The sequence below is a fragment of the Homo sapiens genome, chromosome 3 (genome assembly GCF_000001405.40).
Source record: "Homo sapiens chromosome 3, GRCh38.p14 Primary Assembly".
NCBI classification, from domain to species: Eukaryota; Metazoa; Chordata; class Mammalia; order Primates; family Hominidae; genus Homo; species Homo sapiens.
Window position 1 is genome coordinate 148,711,039 of NC_000003.12, and position 24,659 is coordinate 148,735,697.

Genomic DNA, 24,659 nt, shown 5'->3' on the forward strand with positions numbered 1-24,659 from the left:
TCAGTTAAAGCTCTTTTCTTTATAAATTACCCAGTTTCAGGTATTCCTTTATAGCAACACAAGAATAGACCAACACAGTCACGGATAACAGTAGTTTTTCATTTTTCATCAATATAATGATCCTGCTGTATTCTTAAAGTTCTTAATCACTATTTGTCACTAATACGATAACATTAATAAAATTTGAGTCTCAGTTACTTTCCAGTCACTTATACCTAGCAGTTCAATAACATTTAGTTCCTGGACTAATGATCATGTGTTATATAAGGCAAAAAATTAAAAACAAATTTGTCTTTGAGTCATCAAAGCATCAAGGGTTTGAAATAGCTATATAACTAGCTGTGAAAAAGGGATATAAATATCCAGCTGATATTTCCTTTACACATTTAATAGTATCATTTTTCAATGAAAGCATAAATAAAATAAGTTTGGAACCAGTTTGGAATTTTTAAATATTAATCGCAGAATCTTACTAACAGAAAACAAAAGCAAGATAAATGCTAGTCATTTGTGCCTGAGTTTTTTTTTCAATAAACAGAAATGAAGCTTGCTTTAGGAAACATGTGTACTCCAAATAACCTACTATTCACACAATTCTCAGTAACATTCTTTCTTTGCTTAAATAATACAGCCAGATGTGCTTAGCACATAACTCTATAGAAAATAATAATTTAAATTAGATTTAAATAGAGATAGATAGACAGACAGACAGATAGACAGATATTTTTGAGACAAAGTCTCACTTTGTCCTCTAGGCTAGAGTGTAGTGGCATGATCATAGCTCACTGCAGCCTTAAACTCCTGGGCTCAAGCCATCCTCCTATCTCATCCTCCCAAGTATCTAGGACTACAGGCACATGCACTATGCCCAGCTAATTATTTTTTTAATTTTTTGTAGAGATGTCGTCTTGCTACATTGCCTAGGTTGCTCATGAACCCCCAGCCTCAAGTGATCCTCCTGCCTCAGCCTCCCAAAATGCTAAGATTACAGGCATGAACCACTGCACCCAACCAATATTAATATTTTTAACAATTGAAAGAGCTCAAAGAAATAGGTTTTAAATTTAGAGGCCCTGTTTTGCTGACAGGAAAGGCTTTTAGCTGGAATCAAGAGTGCTGTTGTCTTTTCCCTTCAATTAGTCATTCCTTTTAAGACTTTTAAGATTTAAATGTATGAGTCATTTTTTAAATCCCAGAAAGATCTAGTATATCTCATAAATGTAATAATACAGTGCAGACCTGGTGGAAAATAATTATTTATCTGAAACTGGGCCTCAGTGCCTTTCCTGAATCTAAACAAATGTTCATCTCACCCAGAGAACTGGGACAACAGGAACAAGGTATTGCAAGTCCAAAATCCAATCCAAAGCAGCGTTCTTCCTCCCCACCTCTAGGCAAGGCCAAAATACTTCTGCACACAGTATAGACACCAGAAAAAAACAGAGCCACTGTAGATGAAACCAGTCAGGGGGTAAGAGCTGTCTTTTGATCTAGAGCTTGCACCTTTGCTCCTCAGTAATACTCCCAGGTCAAAAAGGAAAAATAAGATGGGCAGTTGGCTGCCTCCTGGTCCCTCCAGCCTGGTCAGTGAACAGAGTGGGAAGATAAAACAGCTAAGTATCTTCCTTAACAATGCAAAGCAAGAAATCCAGTCTGCTTTGGGAAAGTGAAAGCAATGCAAATTCAGATTATTAATCATAAGAGCATCTCATGTGATATACAAAATTATTGTATAGCAGTAATGGGTCAGCCGTATTTTATTCAACACTGAACCATTAATGAATGCTAGCTAGTCTTCCTTTCACTTACAGAATGTTTATCTATACATGACTAAACAAAGAAGGAGCGCTGGAAATGATCCTGTGAAAAATACTGGCTCACAATGTATCAGCTGAGTTTGGGGCAACTGAGGTAGTAGGAGGCGCCCCCTGGACTTCTGCTGGAATTTAGATTTAAATAGATGGATGAATTAGACAAAACATACTCTCTGAAAGAGTGAGAAATACAATATTCACCAATTAAGTGAAGGAAAAATCTACACTATGAATAAAACAATAAATGTGGATACATTTGAAAATTTGAATTTCAAACCCCTTAAGATAATGTGACAAATACAACAGGCCTAATTTAACATCTTAAAGAGATCTGTGTGACCTATTTTGCAGTTTTATTTTCTTAGGACAATGCTTCAGTATCTTTAACTTTCATATTTAATCATTTTTTTTCTTTTTTGGTTTCTATGGTATCACCATCCATCAATCCATATTGGTTGGAGGGGGGGAATATATATATATATATATGTATGTCTCCCAAGAGAAAGTAATTCTGCAATCTTCCTCAGCAATTCAGTCTAACAATTAAGAACCCTTAAGCTAAATAGAAAAATTCATTTCACAGGCAAGTTTTACTCAATATGTATAATTAGTTTTAGTTAACTTTATTAATGAAATGTCGCAAATCAATTAGGTTTGCAATAATCAGATGCCGAGGACCCAAGAGGAACCATTCCTCTCACAAGAGGGGAAGGTGATACACAATTTAGTTGGGAAGCAAATGTAATTAGATTTGATCAATTGAGTATTCCTGTCCTGATGTGGAGTCAGTCACATACCCAAGCCTGAGAATATATTTGAAAAGAGGTAGAAAAAAACCCAGTATGACTTAGAAAATGTCCTTGTGGTCCTATTGGCCACAACTGGCAGCCAAAAAGGGCTTTGAAGCCACAGGTAGACAGGTTTTGTTCAGACAGGGCTATGTTTTAGATTTCTCTTTCAAATCTGAATGGTTTTACGTAGGGCAATATATAAACTTTCCTATTTGTCACAGATTCTAGCACTCTTTAATGCCTTATACTGGGTGTTTCACACAGTTATTTAACTGCCCAAATCCCAATGGCACTTCAGTTTGCAACTATCATGACCTAGAAGTTAGTTATTGAACAGTTATGAGGTAACTTAAAGTTTCTTCCCTTTGCCTCTAGAATAAGAATATCAAAGAAATGTCATGATGATAGGAATACTACTGAAAGAGGATATTAAACACTAGGTATTCCTACTTAGGGCTACAGTTTGCAGCAGATTCTATTGTGTTTCAGTCAATAAGTGTTTTTGGACACCTACATGCCAGACACTATTCTCAGCATTGAGCACAAAGTCGTGAGCAAGGTAGACAAAAATGCTTGGCCTCATAAAACTTACATTCCAGTGCATAAAGATGAGAACAATCACGTAAAATTTATAATATGTTGGATGGCATGGAAAATGGAAATAAAGTGGAAGGGAGGCTTCAGGTTAAAAAGAGTGTTTAGGGAAGGTCTTCTTAGGAAGAAGGAGGAAGCTATGTGGACATCTGGGAGAAGATCGCTCCAGGCAGAGGGTAGAGCAAATGCAAATTCCTTGAGGCAGCAATGTGCTGGCATGGTCAAGGCACAGCGAGTATGCCAGGGTCTTCAGAAACCACAGAGAAGAGTGGATAACAAAAGTGAAATCAAGTATTGAAGAGTATGAACTGACAGGAACTAGAGACATATTTAGAATGGATGCCAGAACAGGAGAAATGGGTGGGATTTTAAAAGCTAAATGATTTAAAGACTTAAAATGCTCTGAAGTGTAGTGAAATGTTCCCCAAACTGCAGATTTTCCCAGGAAACCAGGTGCATAATTTAGTCATCGATGACTGGTTCTGTGGCAATGACTCTAGTAATTAGACCCCTGCATTTTATGTCAGTTCCTTCTGGATACTCAGCTACATTATTTGGTGCTTTTGGTATACTTCAAATATGCATTGCCTATCACTGACCTGTAATCCTGTGTCTCTGGGCCTGAAAATATAACTTTTCATGTAGTAGAGAATTAGGGCTGTGCAACATTGCCACTAGATTATTTTTAATGAAAGCTTTGCCCTTTTAGATAAATACAGCAATGTATTCAAACAAGTCCTAGGGATACCACTGAGTGCAAAATGTCATGTACTAGTTATTCCATTTAAATTATTTTATCTTCAAGTCTAATAAGAAAATTCTAAATAAAATTATATATTTGGGATTGTGTGTGTATCATCCATCCACATGTAAGTAGGAATAAAATTATTTAATGGAAAATTTCAAATAGGCTAACTCTAAAAATGTACAGATAATCTGGATGAGAGAAAACTATCCTCACTTTGTGTTATTTTTCAATGGTAGCATTTTCTCATAATCCCCATGCTTTTTTCATGTCCTGCTATTCTTTAAGATTTCCTAATGAGGATTAGGGAATAGGCATATTTAACAATCTGTGTTCGCAGGTTGAAAACAAGAAAATGAAGACTAATAGTTTCTCTCCTGTTAATTTGATTTTCTACAGCTCCTCTCCTACCAGCTTAGGCAGAGGACTTAGTTACTATTTCCAATAGATGGGAGCCAAGGAAAAGACAAGCATCTGTGATGTCATGTCTCCCCCAAACGGGTAGCTGCCTCACCAGCCTCCATTAGAGACATCCCCCAGAGTAAGAAATAAGAAATAATCATGAGTAGAATGAGAAAAAAATGCAGCTTCCTTTATCTGAGAAAAACAATAGTAGCTCAATGCTGTGGCCTAAAGGGCTTTGAAAATAATGCAATTTCTGATAAAAATAAATGCCATTATTCTTGCTTATTGTCACTGTTTTAGTCAAATAAGATTTTAGCAAGCATATTTCAAATTGTTCTAAATCTAAGTAAATTGGTAATTAAATGCTATCATTAGAAAGTATTTTAATATCAGAAAAATTGGACCATAAGAAAGTTAGTTTACCCTTGTATTCATATATACATGTGCTTTGTGCTAAAAATTGTTATCATTTAGTGAGAACCTGTGACTATATTAATTAATTTAATTTAATCTTCATATTTCTCTGACCGTTAGAGAGTTTGTGACTTGGATAACTTTCAAACAACTAGTACCCTGATGGAAATCCAGAATTTTGTTAACCCAGATCACAGCTGCATACTTAAATGCTATGCAACAGTGGCACTTACCCCCAAACCGTATCCTATGGAAATGCCTTTTTAGCAAATTAAACTGAATTGTGTTCAGAGATCCACAGGTCTAAGCAACATTAGGGAAGGGGTAAAGTAGTCCTCAGCAAGGCCCTTTTCAGAGCACTCCACCAGTGCCCTTGTCCTCCTGGGCAGAGCTCCTCAGCTATACTCCCTTTCCTAGTCTACCCTATCCCACAACGGAACCATACTTCTCTCATGGAAGCCCTGGTCTCACAGAACTAAAAAGGAGGCTCCTAGAAATGGGGTTGTGTTGAGTTGACAGAGATGTGTGGCTCTTTAAACTGAAATATAATCCAAAGAGAACAAGATCTAGTAGAATTTCAGGTCCTAAGCCTGGTTAAATTTCAGGTCCTAAGGCTGGTTAATAGTACAAATACAGTTATTTATTTATAACTAGTGCAAATACAGTTATTTATTTATAACTATACAGGAATTTATTTCCCAGTACCTTCTATATTACTAACATCCCATAAAACCAGCCATGTAAGGAACTAGAACATTTTGAGAATATGCAATACATAACCTTAAACAAGAAGTTTTCATTCCTAATTAAAAAAAATAAGCTAGTTCATCACAACTTCCTTCAAATCCTTCTGCCACTGATTTCTCTCCTGAAAAGAGATATTATACGGCATTTTAGAGAAAACAAACATCTCTAAGTCACAAGGAGTGGAATAATCAAAGTTGCATTTTAAGCAAGATTATGGTTTTTTCTTTGAGTTCTCTGAATTTGAATAGTTTCTTAACCTTAGTTTTTTAACTGCTCTGAAAATGGTTTCTGTCCCTGGTGGACTCTTGTTTCAATGCAGTTATTTTGTCTGGTAGAGTCACAGAGTTAAGCTGTCATTCAGATCAGAAAAAATAAAAGAGAGAGATGAATTAATCTCAATGGCACAGTCTCCTTATTCAAAAAATAAAAATAAAAATAAATCTCAAGTCCAACAATGAATCATCTTTGAGACTCTCCCAAGTGATCTAGTTTTAAGGGCAAAAACTTTGGGGAAACTGTTGGGGGAGCAACTGGTGCCCAGTACTGTTTCACACACGTGGTTTTTCTTATCTATTGCTCACACACTTAGACATAACTGGAATTATTGCCTTTGTATTGTTGTTGCCATTTTATAAAGGAAGACAAAAAAGATCAGACAAAATAATAGTGAACATCTATTAATTGGACACTTACTGGTGTCAGGCACTGTGTCATGCACTGTGTCAGGCACTGTATTTTCTTATTTAATCCAACAAAAAAAAATAGGCTAAATTATCTTATTGGCTCAATTTTCTTTACAGAAACTGAGCCTAAATTTCCCAAATGGCTAACCAATGCCAGGGCCAGCAACTCAAATTTGGGAGTAATTCCGACACCTAGGTTCCAACCATTTTTCTCCCAGAAATAACCCACCAAATTCACCAGAGTCTAAGATCTTACTGTTACTGTTTAATTAACTGCTACAATTGCAGCATTTTAAAAAAATATAAATGAGCACTGTGCTAGTATTTAATTATAGCTTTATACTGATACTGGGTACAAGTATAAGCTAACACCATTTTGAATTATAGTAGAAGAGTCAGGAGCTCTGAGAGGAATGTTCAGGATAGAATAAAGCAGATATTTTAATGTCTCATTTCAGTGAGGAAAATTGTTAATTCATATGCCACCAGCCATCGGCAGAAATGTAACAGGAAATGAAGAAAAACTTAATTACTTTAAATACAGTGGTCTGTAGTACAAATTATTGTGCCGTGAATTAGTTTCCTTCTGCTGTAGAATTGATCATTTTGATTATGTAGCCAAGCAGTGTAAGACATTACTAAAATTATTCTTGAATCCTACCTTTGAGATCTATATAAAACACTAGGCAATTTGCCTGCAAATACATAGAAAACAATTTTTAAAAGGATTGGGATGAGTTATTTTCCCCTCTGTTAAATATTAGCCTTTGAAATGAACCCAGCTGATCTGCCAAATAACACTTGGAAATTGTTGTGTTTTAATAAAGTGACAGACTGAGAGGGAAGCCACACTAGACGTCCTTATGCTTTTAGAGGCCTTACAGGGCAGGAACATTATGCAATAATGCCTTTTAAAAGAAGTGAGCTTCCTAGTATTACACCTTGCCTGGCAACAAATGTAGCCACTTACTGAAATGCAGGCGTAATTAGAATCTATGAAAATCTAGCATCAGAATCCCAAACCTCTATGCAATACTCAGTAAATTACAGCTTTTATGTCTGTAATATTTTCAACCATTCTACTTAAATATGTGAATACATGAGTGTGGAGTTCTTTAGGAGGCCTGCTGCATATGCTAGGGAAAGGTTTCATCATTTCTAATCAGGATGGCTCTGTAAATGGGATGCCTCATGTTCAGGTTTCTGGAAGGCTCAGAGCCTGGGCTTCTACTGGCAGAGGGTAGACCCAAATGGACTACTCTAGTGAAAATCTCCAGGTGAACATGGAACGCAGTGAAAACCTGGGGTATCCAACTTGCAGTATAGGCCACCAGCAAGTGTCACCTCTATTATAACTTTAACCAGGCAAGCTCAGTCTCATGCATTAGTTTATAAAATTGCAACAGAGCCTTCTAAGACTGAAAGGACATTAGTTTTTAAACCTATATATTATGACCTAATTAAATGAAATTTTATTTTAAAGCCCTCATAAAAGTAGTAAAATTGGTGTTTTAAATAAACCAAATGGGAATTCAACCACTTTAATTTTTCTTTTGTTCCAATAGGAAAATAAATGCTTTAAAATTTGAAGTTGAAACATGGGTTTTAAATATATTGAGATAAAAACTATTTTGCATAGGCATTTTGAAGAAAATAAATTTTGTTCTCGTGATTTGTGATTGGCCATTGATTTCCGTGTTTAAGATTATGAAGGTGTGCTCAGCTGTCTACTAGAAATAACAGGGGAGACTCAGTCTTGTTTCAAATGGAAGGGCTCCTATTCGGTTTTCTCCTTCATTTCTTAAAGTGTTGTGATTTTTTTATTCCCTGGTGTTATGTCTTGAGATTTTAAATCTTAAAACATGCAATTAGGTATTGAAGTTGAAAGCTGGAAGTCTCAGCCAGCTAGTAATGGTTTTTTAAAATAGGTAATACAGACCTCTAGTGGTTGAACAGTTTGAAAGCCTCTGCAAGAAAAGGAAATTGCGCAGAAAGTGCCTGCATTTTAAGGGGAAAAGTTAGTTAAAATTATTCAGATGATAAAATTCACATATTTCATAGGAAAAAAAAAGCCAGAATGGGCTTCAAGGGAAGGTGGCACACTTCCCATCCTTTTAGATGTTCCTCAATTCCTCTAAATAAGCAAAAACTCTCTGGCCAAAGTCACAGTAAGAAGTCTGGATCTGTATTATTTTTCTCTAAAAGATCTTGTGAACAGAGCTGCTAGATCTCTGTATTATATGAAACATATATTTTTGTACACAGTTTTGCCTCACTGGGGCTTTGCTTCCTTTGTACTCCAGAGGCTCCCCATGAAAACAATCTGCAGCCACCTCAACTTGCCTGTGCTGTTCTCAGGTTCTGTCCATGGGGAGCCACACTTCAGTGAGCTCAGCGATTGGATGGCTTTTTAGTCTACATGAGAGGGAAACTCCATGTGCCTCTAGACTAGTGCTTCTCAAACTCTAATGAACACCCAAGTCATCTGGGGAATCTGCTTGAAATGCAGATTCTATCTCGGTCTGGGGTGGGGCCTGAGGCTGTCTTGTTCGTAAACTCCCAGTTGATGCTAACGCTGCCCATCCAGGGCCACCCAGAGCAGCAAGCCGGTTCTATGACAGCTCTCTTTATTTTTTAGTTACATATTTTGTTTTTACTCATTTCTTCTTTGTTTGCTCTTTTACTTTAATAACTTCTGTTAAATTTTTAATATTTGGATCTGTAAAACATTTAAAGTTCTCTTTCACTTCACTATGTACAAGTATCTCTGGGAATCTGTTATTGAAGTTTTGAGAAGTTGATCTCACATTTTAAAAATAGATTCAGTGTCATCTCTTTATCTTGAAAAGTTCATGGTAGTTGTGAGCATCTCTCTAACCACTTGAAGCTATTGGGTTAGAGGTAGCTACAATTAAATATCTGATTAGCCATATTGGGAGAGTGGGTGAAAACAGGTTTTGTGCATGTGGTAGATGTGTAGGAAGCTAAGGACCCAAAAAACAACCACATCATAAAATCAAGCAGAAACACACACACACCACACACACACACAGAGGCTCAAAGCATAAGTGTCAACAGATCAGAAGAAAACATGGGAGAATGTATTTTTTCATACCAAATTATTAAAATTCCATCATCTAAATAACTTCCTATCATAGCATGTTGTCGACCTCATTTTTCAAATCCATAATTTTAGAACTTATGTCGTGGGGTAGTCTAAAAGCCTCTTGCAAACTTTTAACATCTAGTTTCAAATCAAAAATAATATATTAACAAGCTGTAGCATAGAGGGAGTACATAAATTATCATCATTGCCCTGCATGAATAGTAATTCACAGGTTTGGCTCACACACAACTTAGATGAAATAATTAACTATGTACAGTACTTAACAGTATAAAAGTAATTAATCTAGCTGCCTCGTACCGGTTTGGCCTAAATAAACATGCAATAAAAAAGCCATAGGATTTTATTATTTTTTTACTCACGTTACTACTTTAGTGTGTTGGAATTTTAATATGTCAGAAGAAAGATATCTTTGCATTAAAAAATCATTTTCTTTTCAAATGTTAATGTACTGATTATAACTAAGTGAATTCCATATATTTATAATTGTGGGCAGATGTTCTCAATTAATAGTTTTATTCATTCTACTTCACAGTTTAGTGAAAAGGATTATTTTAAATTAAGGTGTAAATAAGAACAAATGAGATTTTTATTACTACAAATCACACAGAATTTGTTGGTGGTGCTATAATCCTGTGTAGGTATAGCTTTGGCAAAACATTTCAGATAAGCTTGTTTTTTGCCCCATGGGTTCTGGGACGAGGTGAGTTGTCTGTTTGTCCTATAAGGTTCAGAAAGGTAAAAGGGCAAGGTCATTAATTGGCTAGAGGGCAACAAAGAAGGTAGTTATCCCTGTGTGGTCAAGAAAAAGTGGCTCAGGTTATCTTGCTCGGGAGAGAAAATGTTCATTCAGCTCCAGTCCTTTTGGTAAAAGCCCACTCTCAGTGTATGAGTGTTCCTTTGCCTAATCATGTAGACTATAACATGTTTTCCCCTATATGACTCCATCGATTAATCATTGCAGTATTATCCCCACTTCATAAATGGGCAAAGAGGAGGATGAAGCCGAGTAGTTCTTCCAAAATCAAGTAGCATGTAAGATGTAGGAGCAAAACTCAAATCCAGAGACTTCTGCTTCCAGCCAAGATGGAATAACAGGGACTAGATTTACCTCCCCACCTAAAACAATTTTAAAAACTGGACATACATATGAAACAATGGTTTTCAAGAGAGTGGACATCAGATAACAAAGGGCAGTGATCCCTGGAGGATAGGAAACAAATGACCTGGGATTGTCCCAGCCCACTGCCTGGAGGGAGTTTGCAGGCATGATACAGGGATGGTACACCCAGGCAGAACTCGAGGTCCTCTCTGAGTTAAGGACACAGAGCTGGGAGTCCAGAGAGGCCAAGGAGGCTAGAGTTCAGAGTACCAGAGAGTTGAGAGCTGCACAGAGAACCCAGAGATCTGCAAATGGTACCCCTTGTGCTTCAGTGCATGTGGGCAAATAATCACCCAAACGTATTAGAGAGAACAAGCCCCAGAGGTCATCAAGAGCTAGAAAATAGTTGCTATTTCCACCAGCCACAGTGGAAAGTCTCATAATTCATGGAGCATCAGGTAGCATACTCAGTAGGTTCTTGCCTCAGGAATGGGAAAAATTTAGCCCTAGACTAATTGCTGCTCTGGTACCACCTAAGAAACCGTAAAAGTCAGACTCAAAAGAATTAAATTATTTGCAAGTAACTCAACTGCTTTTCAGAAAACAACTGGAGAAATTTTGTAGGAATACAAAAGCATCCAATATCCAACAAAGTAAAATTCACAATGTTTAGCATCCATTATAAAATCACCAGGCATGCGAAGAAGCTGGAAAGTACAACCCATAAAAAGAAAAAAATGAATAGAAACAGACCCAGTCAGTAATGACACAGATGATAGGATTATTACACTATTACATTAAATGGTTATTATGACTATTTCATATGTTCAAAATGCTTGATGGAAGTTTGAACATATTAAATGAAGACATGGGAGATATAAAAAAGACTGAAATTGAACTTCTAGAGATGAAAACTACAATGTCTGAGATGAAAACTTAAACTGAGACTTCAGATGCTAAGACTACATTTGTTTCACATCCCCACAACATTCTTCCCTGGACGCTGAGTTTCCTCCCAGCAGCTGAATACTTCATGCTTCATCCTTTCTTAATGCTGAACTCTCAGAAAAAGTCCTTCATTCTAAGAAGAGGCGGGAGGGTGCCACTCTGTAGCCCCTTTCTCATCTCACTCTGGTCCCTGCTGGCCTGGAACAGATTCCACTCCCTTCATGCACTGATACTCCACTCTAGACTGAGCCTCTTCATGAGGTAGCCATCAAGCCATCCGCAGTCATCAACATGGCACCTTCTGAGTCAGTTACAAGAGTTTGCATCATCAGACCACCATTTTCCGTCTCTGTTTTCTGACTTACCCCAAAACTCTAGTTAAAACTCATGAAATATTATCTCTTCACATGAAATACAATTAATATGGAAGTCAGCATTTTTGCATCTCCCAACGCTTCACATCCAAGGAGCTGTGTATGAAATCATGAACTATGTTCTTCCAGCCAACCAAGCAATTAACCAAAGTATACATGTCCATGTTGTCCTTGTACAGAGTTTGAAATATGCTCATGAGAATTAAACTATTTTTCAGTAAATCTGAAAAATCAACTTGCTTGTCCAGGAAGTTTTATTAGGGATAGAATCCCAAACAATGAATGTGCTAGCCAAGTGTTACTATTAATCAGAAATACTCCATATTCATCCAGGATTAATCCTGTGTAACTCCCTCAGTCAGTGTAGCAATGTGTTCTCTTCCTGCACTTTTTTTATGTGTGTGTATTCCCAAATCTGCAGTGAATGTATTTAGGAAATACATTAGTATCAAAAGGACAAATGTAGCCTTAAAACATAAATGTACAGATAATTTCCTATTTGTAGCAAAGTTCACTTCAGAAACACTTGATAAGAACTATTCAAAAATAAATATTTTCAGTATTTATTTAAAATATTTTAAAATGTAAACTCCTCACCAGTCATCTAGCCAGGGCCACTGAGTGTGGCTCTATGAAATAGCTTCAGTCCCTTTCACTACTGATGACCTTTTGAACACAAGATAATATTTGTCGAGTAAATGTCAAAATAGTATAAGAATACCCAAATCATGGATTCTATGCTGTATTCACTCACATAGAGACTTCACTTTGGAGCACTTCAGAGCAGCAACAGCTCTAAGAGATGTAACAGTATGCTTTCCAGGATAGAAGAACGAAAAGGGAAAAATAAGTTGCTAGCAAGAACAATGAGGGGTAGGGGTGAAGTTCAGGCTGCCATTCTGAAAGCTTCCTCAGACTGAGTCAGGCACATCTCACGAAGTGCAGACTATGCAAGCTGGCTGTGTGAGATCAAGGGTAGACAGTTGACTCATCCTGTCACATCTCTGTGTTTTACCGTAACCTCCAACTATTCAGCCATGAATCGCTGCATGTGGAATGGAAGGGGGAATGTCTAACAAACAGAGACATACTTCAAGTCTTCAGTCTAGTTAAAACATTGGAATGAGGGTCTGCAACATCTTTCTGGGGCTTGGAGTCTCGTCTCAGTTCTAAAATGAGATGGTTGGCCTGGATCCTAAGTTTCAAATTGGCAGCCTTTTTAACTAAATCTAATCTAGAAGAGTTCTGTTAGGTTCCACAGTGTTGGGTTTTAAAATATATATATATATTAGTTGAAAACATTTTAAAATAGGATCTTTCACATGAAATTTGAAATTTTAAGTTTATATTTTAAAGTTAGCTGTTTTCCCCCACCTCATTACAATTGGCACAGTTGACTATAGCTGAGAAGTGACCCCGTGGCCCCCCTCCAAGAAAGGGGGAGGGCCCTCCATTCACCACCATGTCCACTTCACCTATTTCTCCCAGCCTATATATGTATTTGAATATGTGAACCCTGGAATGCATAATGTCTAGGGACCATAACAACAATAGAATGCTATGAATCTCTGACTTACAAGGACTCTCTTATGAATCTCTGACTTACAAGGACTCTCTTATGAATCTCTGACTTACAAGGAAAACAAAAGACTGTAGAGAATAGTAGTTCAACCACATTTTAGGTTAAAATAGACTTTACTTGGATAACCTGACAACCAAAACATCTTTGATAATATAGTAATTGTGTATGTTTACCAGACAAAGGGTATACATGTATATTCTTGTATTTCTCTTAAGAAGAAAATCAATAAATTTGACCCATGAATTTCTTTCTATAGCAGACATTTTTGTGACTTCCTGACTCACAGGAGATACAGCTACCCTCCAAACCTAAATCAAAAGTCCGTAAGTTGCAGAATGACTTTTTATGTAAAGAGAACATACTAGTTTCTGATAAGATATAAAGAAACCATGTAATTTATCTAGGGAATGACTCTAAGCTGATCATTGACTTATTTACACAACTATAGCTACTGGAATAGACTGATTCCAAAAATATATTTTCTCTGAATTAGAATCTTTTTCATATCAAAATATCCAAAATTATTAGCATATTATGTTATTCTCACAAAGTCCTAATGAACTTCACAAATCTGCCTGCTCTATTCTGAGTACAAAAAATATTTAGCCTAATTTGTTTTTCCATTATTTTATATAGTAATAAAGTAATACCAAAAATGTTATTGCCAGAAACAATACAGTGTTGTATAATTATTAGAAAGTGAACTCATGAAATTCTATTAAAAAACAACAATTACCACATGTTAAGTCAGATAATTCACAGAAGAGACTTATATGAATACTAGGGGAGCTGTAGGCAACAAAATTTTTCTCTGAATCCTGCATTTTGAAGGAAGTTTCTGTCATTTAATTAGTTGAGGTTTGATTCACCAACCAAAGGTCTATAGTGTGATATATTTTCTTCCTCCAACATAAAGTTAACTTAAAGTCATTTGTACTTTATGTGTTTATTCTTTCACTTCTTCCCCAAAAGTAATTCTTTAAATTGCTTTATGGGATTAATAACAAATTATATCATTATATATTTTTGTATTATTAGGGCTTCTAACTTCATTATAATCAATTTATTGGCCATATATAATAATGCAACAAATTACATCTGTAAAGTAAAATTTTATGACGCAATTTACTTAGTATATGTATAAGTCTCATTCTGCTGCCCAGGCTGGAGTGCAGTGGCGCGATCTTGGCTCACTGCAACCTTCGCCTCCTCCTGGGTTCAAGCGATTCTCCTGCCTCAGACTCCCAAGTAGCTGGGATTACAGGCATCCGCCACCATGCCCAGCTAATTTTTGTATTTTTATTAGAGACGGGGTTTCACCATGTTGGCCAGGCTGGTCTCAAACTCTTGACCTCAAATGATCCACCCGCCTCAGCCTCCCAAAGTGCTGGGATTACATGCATGAGCCACCACACCCGGCCGGAGACAGGTTCTCCCTGACCTGTGAGACTGCAAAGGTGGTGTTTCCTATGAGTCCAGCCAGATAATAGACTCTGCTAACATTAATTAAATTAATATTCCTTTTTAAGATTCTAGGTGCTGAATATATATCTCTTGGTCTATAAATTAGCTTCGCACTTCAGCTATTTAGCAAACTTGTTTTTTATTGTATCTAGTGTATTCATACTGAATGGGTATAATATACTGTCTTTTGAAAAAGTTATTTTGTACACATAATCTTAAAACACTCTTCCAAGGGCAAGGTAGAGGCTTCATAATATTATTTCCATTTGTCAGATCAATGAAGGTTTAATGATTTGTCCAAGATCTCAATTTCTAGAGAAGCGAAGAAGAATCCCCCAATTCTAGTTCTAAGTTTCTTTTTTCCCTTGCTAAATCCTGCAGTCTACTGATTTTTTTTTTTTTAGACGGAGTCTCGCTCTGTTGCCCAGGCTGGAGTGCAATGGCATGATCTCAGCTCACTGCAACTTCCACCTCCTGGGTTCAAGTGATTCTCCTACATCAGCCTCCCGAGTAGATGGGATTACAGGTGCATGCCACCATGCCTGGCTAATTTTTGTATTTTTAGTAGAGACGGGGTTTCACCATGCTGGCCAGGCTGGTCTCGAGCTCCTGACCTTGTGATCCGCCCACCTTGGCCTCCCAAAGTGCTGGGATTACAGGCGTGAGCCAACATGCCTGGCCTGCAGTCAACTGATTTATGTTCATCACCTTCTTAAGTTAAATTGCTCTTTTACTCATTGCCTTTGGTTTTGTGTGTTAAGATTCAGCATCAGCATTCATGATATCTTTTCACTCTTAATTCTGAGTGTTTCCGTCCGTTTTTTTAATTTTTGTACTTTATGGGCTTTTTCTTCATTTACCCCCAATTATGCGGGAAAGGCTGTGTGCCTCTTTTGAAAGCTCTGATGTTCTCAATGAAGAGACCTTTTAAATGACCTTGTTTGTCCCCCACCGAGTTGCATATCACAACTTCAAATGTCTCACTAAAATGTTACCCATTTGGCATCAGTATACAGAAAAGGCTGCACTCTGAGATAAGAAAGAACAGTGGTGTTTTCATAGTAAGAGAATAGAGTTCTTAATGGGAAAGGGGAGAGTATAATTTCCACTGATTTAGCTGGTCTTTCAAACTTTATGATGCTTTTCTCCTTGAACTAGCCTATAAGAAATTTGTAGGGAAAATACCACAGGAATCAAATTTTGGGCATAGATGTCTATTAATATTGCTCCTTACAAAGCTTTTTCCCAGAATTGTTTCTCCTTGCCTACAAAAACTACTCCATGCCTTTATTAGTCAGAAAAGCAGTTTTGTAGAGAAGGCAAGTAACAGAGAATCAAGCTAAGTAAGTGAAACTCTGTAATTGTCAAACTTCCAGAAAGTAACATTTGTAACTAAGTATGGTATCTTTGTCCTCTCTCTTTCTCTCTTCTCTCCACTTGGTTTCTAATGAAAGCCTTGATTACATGTTATATTTAATGTACTGTTCCACAAAGAAGAAAAGGCCTAATGTGAATGCAAGCTGAATTTACACTTAAATATTGCAGTCAGTTCAGACCGGAAGGATACAGATCGATGCCCTCTGATCCTGTCAGATTCCCCGAAGTGTCTATGGCAGTGATACCACAAGAGGGCAGGGTTTGACTTCCGGACTAGGTGGCTTCCTCCCTTCAGTGCAGACCTTGGGGCCACGACAACAGCCATCAATCTCTTGAAACCCTAATGATGAATCTGAGCTCAAATTCCCTCTTCAGCCTTATCTGTGCAGAATCCTGAAGTTATGAAAAATGCTTACAGAAGGTAATTTCTAGAATGATCTAACACAGCAGATATTTAGTAAACTCCCTGTTTGAGAGCTCCTACTAAGCACCCAACACAGCTTTAGACTTTGGTCACCCAATAGGATTTTATCTTTTGTGAGGGATCTGTAGTTTTCCCCGGAAGATATAATGCATGAAATAAAAGCCTCCAATAAAATTCAGTATACAGTTAATTTATTTCATAAAAGGTGAGAGATATAAATTATCAAAGGTTAAAACAAAAAGTAGGAACCAGAGCAGGGTTTTTCAGTAGCAACTCTATTGACATTTTGGATTAGATAATTTTTTGGTGTGGGAGACTGTCCCACGCATTGTAAAATGGTTAGCAGTATCACTTGTCTGCCTGCTAGATGCTAGTAATACCCCCCACACCTCCCTCTCCCACATTGGGAAAATCAAAAATGTCTCGAGACATTGCCAAATATCCCTGGAGTACAAAATCAGTCTAATTGAGAGGCACTAGACTGGAGTATAAAGAGATGACCATGCCAAAAAGTAAAAATAATAATAATAGAGCCTTGAAACATTACTTACAGAATGTCAAAAACGTAAGGACCTGCTCTCTATTCCTGTTTCTTAACCTGAGCAATGGGAATAATGATGCCTTCCCTCATAGGTCTCTTGTAGAAATGAAAGCAATTAATGCAACACTTGGCACATAGTAAGCATCCAATGAATAATAAGTGATCAGTGTTACTATTGCTAATATTAAGCCACTATTATAAGTCCTTTCTGTTAATCAGCAGAAACAAAAAGAAGTATAAAATAATGGTACATTAAATGAACTTAAACACTTGTATGTCATTTTGTGCTAAAGTTATGAAGCTGAAAAGATTGAATTGACATTTTCCCCATTGATAGAAATCATCTCAAAAATGCTCCATCTTCCTTGTGAAAGCCAAAGGCCAGCAGTTTCCACATACCCAGCATCTGATAAGTAGTTAATGATCCAGAAATAAACTGTTAGGTGCTTCAGGGAATTTCTGTGTATAGAGAAGTTCCATGTAAATATTTCTCCGAGAGGTGGATGGAGAATGATAATTCACTTTTACCCTCTGAATTTGATTTATAAGCTTCACCTATCTGGCAGGAGATAAGAACCAAAGTTAACTGAGGAGAAAAAAAATAAATGATTTCAAGTGACCATGATCTTCAGCTGGAACCAGTTGAAACTGCAAAGCAACTGGGCTGAAGAAGTTCAGCCAAAATTATTTGTTTATAAAAACTAGAGAGTGTTAGATATTTCTATCACATTGGCTTATTTGAAATTTCTGCTGGCTCAAATGAAATTGTATTCTTCTATTTCCTACTGCGGGGTTCCTTCCCTAACCACAATTGCTTTTGGATTGGAGACTTGTAACTTTGAGAACAAGAGCCTCAGCTTAGCTAGCTGGAAGAACCAGAGGAGAGTTTTAATATCTCCTGAAGAAAGAAAAGCACTAACACGGTTATTATAGTTCAGGACAAGTGGAGTCAAAGTTGACAGTTTCTGACTTGAACAGTTTTGTTGCTGGTAATAAAAGCAGAAGTCACGTGCTGAACGTGAAGGTGAGCAGAGGAGAACTTGCGATGGCAAAGTTAAAAACAAGAGGAGATGATGGTCTTGGTGTGGCACAGGATGTTAAAAAAATTCTCCTGTCCTTAAGGAGTTACTGCTATTTGAGTAATGTGCCACTTCCCTACATAGCCTTCTATGCAGAAATGCTATATTTCCACTTCACAACCCAGAACGTGCATTTTATTTTACATTTAGAGGAGGAACAAACAACCAGAAGGCAAAAACTGGTGCATTATTTTTTGCAATTCTCTTGGAAAGAGTTCGTTTTTAACTTCTGCTCAGACAGCACACAACTACTGGGAATATATTTTAATTTCAAATCTGATGTGTGACATCTGGTAACTCATTTATTGCTAATGAAGTTTTCACAGGAAGCAGCAGTCACCAGTAGCTCATCTTATTTTTCAGTTGGCAAAGTGTTGTTTACCTTTTATTGGCCTGGCATCGGTGTCTCTTATCACAGGATATTTAATTAGAAAACGCAAGTAGCCTAACATAGAAAAGAAATGGAGTGGTAGATAATAGTAGATAGAATGGTCTAAATATTTTTATTACAGTGATGTAATATCACTGTAATTTATGTTTAAAAATTATGTAATACTCAAAAGGAATTCTCAGAGCTGGCGAAACAGTCTGGTCCAAGCAGCCTCTCAGCAGTGCCTTTCAGCCTCCCCTCTCTGAGTCTTTCCACCCCTTGCTGGTACTTTAGTTTCTTCCACTTCTAGCACCACGTGTAGTTTCCCAATTTCTCTTACCCAAATTTGCTCGCAGGGAAAAAAATAAATTAAATTAGCCATTTACACCACAGTGTGAACTTAATAACACCAACAAAAGTTCCAAAGCTCTAGGGTCTCATAGCACCTCCAGATCCATGATCTCATTCGGTGTTTCCAACAATGTTTTGCACCAAACTGGACACATGCTTGCTACTTCATCATCCTCATCGTGAACATTATTATTATTATCATCATTTTCCAGATGAAGAAAATGAATCACAAGTCAACTGACAGTCCAAAGGCTCCACAGCTCAGAGGAGGTAAATCATGTGCTTAATTCAGAACTTTTGGCTCCCATCACTATGCTCTTCCCACTGTCTTAACTCTGGTTGTCACCTGAGCCATTGTGTTTCTTCTCAGGTAGATCTTAGTTCTTCCTGAGAAGGTATGAAGGTGGGTATTCCACCCTACCTGAATTATAGGAATTTCAGATATCTGTGAGCAGCTGCAAAGGGGATTTTACTAGATGACATCCTGCTGGGCACACTTTACGCCAGTCCTGAATGTGTAATAGAAATCTGCAGTTTAATGAGTAAGTTTCTCATATTCAGTTTTTGATGCTTCATAAATGTTAAATGAAAACATTTTAGCTGAGGGTACTTTTGTTGTTTGTTGGATTGGTTTTGCCTGTTCATCAGGATTATCAGCATTTAAGCCAGAGTTGCAAATTAAGTTGCCTACAGGGCAGTGCTTTTCAAATATTAGTGTGTATCAGAATTACCTGGAGGGCTCATTAAAAACAGCTTGCCGAACCCCACCCACAGAGTTTCTGATTCAGTAGGTCTGTGGTGGGGCCAGAGATTTACATCTCTAACAAATTTCTGGGTGATGCTGATGCTGTTGTTTCAGGGACCACACTTTCAGAACCATTGCTAGAGGGGCCAACTAGGGGACGTCTGTGAGTAAAAGCACCTACACTGTGCTTCCAGTACAGCAGCCAGCCCCAGTGTGATGAGCACTTGAAATGTCGCTAGTGTAACTGAGGTGTCCTGGAAGCATACATTATACCCTGGGTTTTGAAGACATGGTACAAAAAATGTAAAATATCTTAATAATTTTATATGGATTACATGTTGAAATGACAATAGTTTGGATATATTGGATTAAATATTTTATCAAAATTAATTTTACCTGTTCCTTTTTACATGTCAAATGTTTTTAATAGAAAAATTACAATTATATATGTGTCTCACTTTCTATTTCTTTTGGACAGCACTGAACTAAAGAACCAGAAAATAGAGGGGTGTATTAGTGAACTACAGAAAATTCAAGTCCCAAAAGCTGTAAATACTCTGAGGACCAAAGAAAATATATACGTTGTTCAGATTTGCCCTGAGGGGTCAGTTTGTACCCAAACATTTGCTGCCACAAGTAGTAAATGTAGAAGCAATCCAATATCTACTATTTTACTTTTCTTTCAGGGTTAATCAAGTGCCTTGTTATAATTCTTCAAACTAAAAACATTATTATAATAATGAAAAATATTTCTGCTGAACTTCCGAATAAAAAAATTTAGTAATATTTTGAAAGTCTGAGCTTTATTTAATTCATTTTACTTACCCTTGTATTATAGAACAATTATATTTTTAAAAATGCTTTTATGTCTTCCAAAGAACTTTTTATTTTTAGCAGTCCATGAAATAGAGGTGAGAACAGGTGTTGGTATTCTCATTCTAAATATCTTGTAATATTTAAAGGAAACCAAAGTGAAAGATTAAATTGCCATGTAAGATTGTGTTGCCGGTTACTGGCAGAGCAGACTCTTTGCCAGGACAGCAGTCCAGTGCTTTCTCTTCCAGGCTGTTCTGCTCTTCCTCAATTTTTACAGCATTTTTATGTTAATCAATCAATAAATAAAAAGTAAAGAACTATAATGCATACAAAACTGTGATGGAAGAAAAGGAAACTATGTGATAAAATCAAATAAATATGACCCTTATAGCTTTAGTTTTCTTAGAACAGAGGCCCTTTAACTTCAGAATGTTGAAACCTTCTCTTGAAGTTCTCTTATAATACTCTGCCCTCACCTCTGTGTTTTTATCTGGGCAATTAGACCACATTAACTAATTGCTAAACTTTAAAAAGTTGTATTTTCTTACAAAGAATCTGAGAATAGGGTTGATTTTCTATGTTATTTTAACAGTATCACATTGCGCCCCCCTCTTCACAGGACCATGTAATCTTGACTCTCTAACTTCATGGCAAGCTTTTAATTTTGATTTTCAACCATGTTCCAAACTGTACTCTTTGACTTGGTAGTGTCAATAAATAACGTAAGGGATGTCTGACAGGCTTACAGCCTTTGGCCATAAATGGAATGAAACAAAGTAGTCCAGATAGGGCTCAAACTCATAACATTGACCTCGTTAGTCTAGAACCACAACCAGCTATCCAAATGTGCCTGGGAAATATTTCTTTGAGTAATAGTTAATTTTTTAAAAGAAAGAAAAAAACCTGTGACTATGATAATCTTATGTTGAGTTTCTTTATTCATCTTGAGTAAACAGTAAATTTTTTTCACTTTGTTGTTTCAATACAAAGAGTTCTTGTGTTTAATATAGAATATTATTAAATTAGTGTGGGATTAAAAATATTTAGATAGCTGATTTAACAATATGTGATAGCATTAATCAACTGCCTTGTTATAATTCTTGAAATTGTTATTACTCTACTTGTCAAGCAATTTTGCCCTTCTCGTCAAATGATGCATACCTGTTCAATGGAAGGATTATAAAAGTTCATGCTTCGGAAAATTTTTTTTTTTTTTTTTTTTTTTTTTTTGAGACGGAGTCTCGCTCTGTCGCCCAGGCTGGAGTGCAGTGGCGGGATCTCGGCTCACTGCAAGCTCTGCCTCCCGGGTTCACGCCATTCTCCTGCCTCAGCCTCCCAAGTAGCTGGGACTACAGGCGCCCGCCACTACGCCCGGCTAATTTTTTGTATTTTTAGTAGAGACGGGGTTTCACCGTTTTAGCCGGGATGGTCTCGATCTCCTGACCTCGTGATCCGCCCGCCTCGGCCTCCCAAAGTGCTGGGATTACAGGCGTGAGCCACCGCGCCCGGCCCGGAAAATTTTTTTAAGAGTATAACCAACTCCCCGAGGATACAGGGGTCCAGGGAAGCTAAATGACTGCTTCAAGGTCACCCAGCCAGTGAGTGGGAAAGCTAAAATTAGAACCTCAGTCCGCTCCCACATTTTCCACCAATTTGCAGGCTATCGTTAAAGAATATTTCTTCTGCAATCAGAACATTGAGCAATTTGGAAAAACGTGTACAGTATATCGAATATTCTAGCTTCATTTAAAATTTATGGTTATGTGGCTTGTATAATGTTAAAAGCTTTAATCTAAAATGAATTGCCATGTGGCCAATAACCCCAACATAATACTCATAATGCATATAAATTCTCTAATATTATCATAATTTCTTAAGGGTACAAATTAATTAGTACCTCTTTTCCTGCCCAATAACTTTCCTCACACCCCTTAAAATGGAATTTGAAATGAGATAAACAGTTGCTGCTGCTGAATTAAAGTTTCAAAGAAATAAAAGTGAGGTGGCTTCATATACAAAATCTGTAGTTTTTTTCACAAATTGGATGAAGCAATTGTTATTGACTAAGCCCATATTGGTGCTGCCCTTTTCTCTGTTGAAAAGAAAAGCTTGTGAGTAGTCTCCAAGAGCCATATTATTAAAAATGATGTTTCCTCCCCATGATGGCTGAGATACTAATCCATTGAAATGTGGCGATAATTCTTGTGAGAAAATTCTATGAGTCTATAAGTTTGAAGAATTTAGAAGTGTAAGAGGACAGGGGTTCATTTACTTACAGGCCTTCTTCCAAGTTAGGTTTTATTTTCCTTTTCTCCTAGTCTCTGGAGTCTCCTCTCTCCAGACACCCTGGAAAGCCATTCATGGCCTTTCATATTTAACATAAGAGTATTTAATACTAACACTAACATGTCGAAGGAAGATGTTTAAAGCATGTGAATTAGACTTGATCATATATGTTTCATTGGCACCTGTTTCTCTACTTTTTGGAATAAAATAAAAACGACAAAAACAGCTAAGAATTTTGGATAGTGATGTGGGTGGGAGGGATTGGGGCATTCATCACAACTGAGTTGTTTAATTTATAGTAAGTGGGAACTTTTAGAGTTGAGAGAAGTTTAATTGTAGTTTAGAGTTTCATTATTAGACAGTAGTCTTAAACAATTCCCAAGAAGCTAAAATGTGGGATTAACATTTTACTTTCATTGTAATTCATATCCTAAATATAAATGTTAATATAAATTATAAAGTTTCTGAATTTCCTTTCATAAAACTGGGTTCTTTGGGTTCTTAGTTATTTTGGATGAAACAAGGGGAGGGCTAGTTGGAAATGATGGAACATTTAACCACTGTCACCACAGTTAGTCACAATTGGTACATGCAGAATTAATAAAGCAGCTTGCCTTGTTTTTATTTCTTGTGAGGTCAGATGACAGTGGATGATATTGACTTGGGAAGATGGCCAGAAGCCACTATTTACCATGTACATATATCAGAGAGCCATTTATTAAGTTTGAGGAGATTGGATCTTAAGTACTTAATTAGAATGACATTAATAATTTTAATAAAATGTTTTGCATTGAGAGAACTATTCACTCAGAAATAGCAGGGGTGAACAAAATCATCTCCAAAGAAATCATTTAACATGAAGTTAGTCTAGGATTACCAACCAAGAGCATGGCATTCTCCCATGTATCTGACTTAAAAGCAATACTTGTCTCTTGCCCCATGGTGCCAGGTGGTCTGCCATGCTTCCCTCTTCGTGGCTGCCAGGATTCCCGGTATAGAGGCAAATACAACCTGTAAAGGCTCAAACGCTTCATCAAAAGCCATGACTATAATCCAAAGCTATTAGGTTTAAGCAACTTATTTGGAAATTATCACCTTCAAATAACATGTAGGGCAACCTCAGTAGAGATGAAATGGACGAAGCAGGCATGGAAACTGCCCTTCCTGCCTTAAATACAGAATGCCAGATCACAGCTCTGAATAAAAGTTAAGACCACATTGGGCCAGATCAGGACTAACACTAGATACACAGCTGAGATAAAGTTCCAGTGACTTTGGCAGTGTGAAAGTCAGGACCAGTAGGCACATATACTGAAGGCAATTTAAGCTGTGTTTCCTGATTAAAGCCAGGGACTGAAAAATCACTACCTATTCATGATGAAAGACTAGAAAACTTCTGAAGACCAGACAGAGTTTCAGAGTGGTATAGTTACTAATCTACTAAATACTGCAAATATATAGTATCTGCAAATATATATATAAGGTTGAAAACTAAGCTCAGAAATGAGCATTAAAAACTTTTCCAGATCAAGGGAGTGCTGTACCCCCAAGCTGAGGTTTCATAGGCTACCATCATCCAGGCACTCAGTCTTCCCAAGCAAGTTAATTCCCACCAAAAATGAACACAGTCAAAGATTACAAAACCTAAGCAGAAGTCCATTATCAAGAAACAGTGTCCACAAGTGCAATAAATATAATTTATACCTGAGGAACTATAAATAGTAAAGCAATTGGGTAGGGGCTCTTAACAGACAGATATTCAAAATGTTAAGGAAAATAAAAGAAGAAGTAGACTTCGTAAAATAGGAACAGAGGGCTAAGAAATAAGAACAAGTAGATCTGAAAAAGAAACGAGTAAAAAGCCTAGAAATATTAGTGCCAAT

At 36.9% G+C, this 24,659-nt stretch overlaps 1 protein-coding gene across 7 annotated transcripts in view; it reads left to right on the plus strand.

Moving 5' to 3' along the window:
- Positions 1-24,659, plus strand: part of AGTR1 (angiotensin II receptor type 1) — a 45,101-nt gene that overhangs the window by 13,136 nt on the left and 7,306 nt on the right. For 3 of the 7 annotated variants that reach the window (NM_031850.4, NM_032049.4, NM_004835.5), the window contains one exon: positions 19,142-19,199. The exons of the other annotated variants lie outside the window; for them this stretch is intronic. The gene's annotated coding sequence lies outside the window, so the exon portion shown is untranslated. The remainder of the gene's footprint in view (positions 1-19,141; positions 19,200-24,659) is intronic. 7 annotated transcript variants of the gene reach the window in all.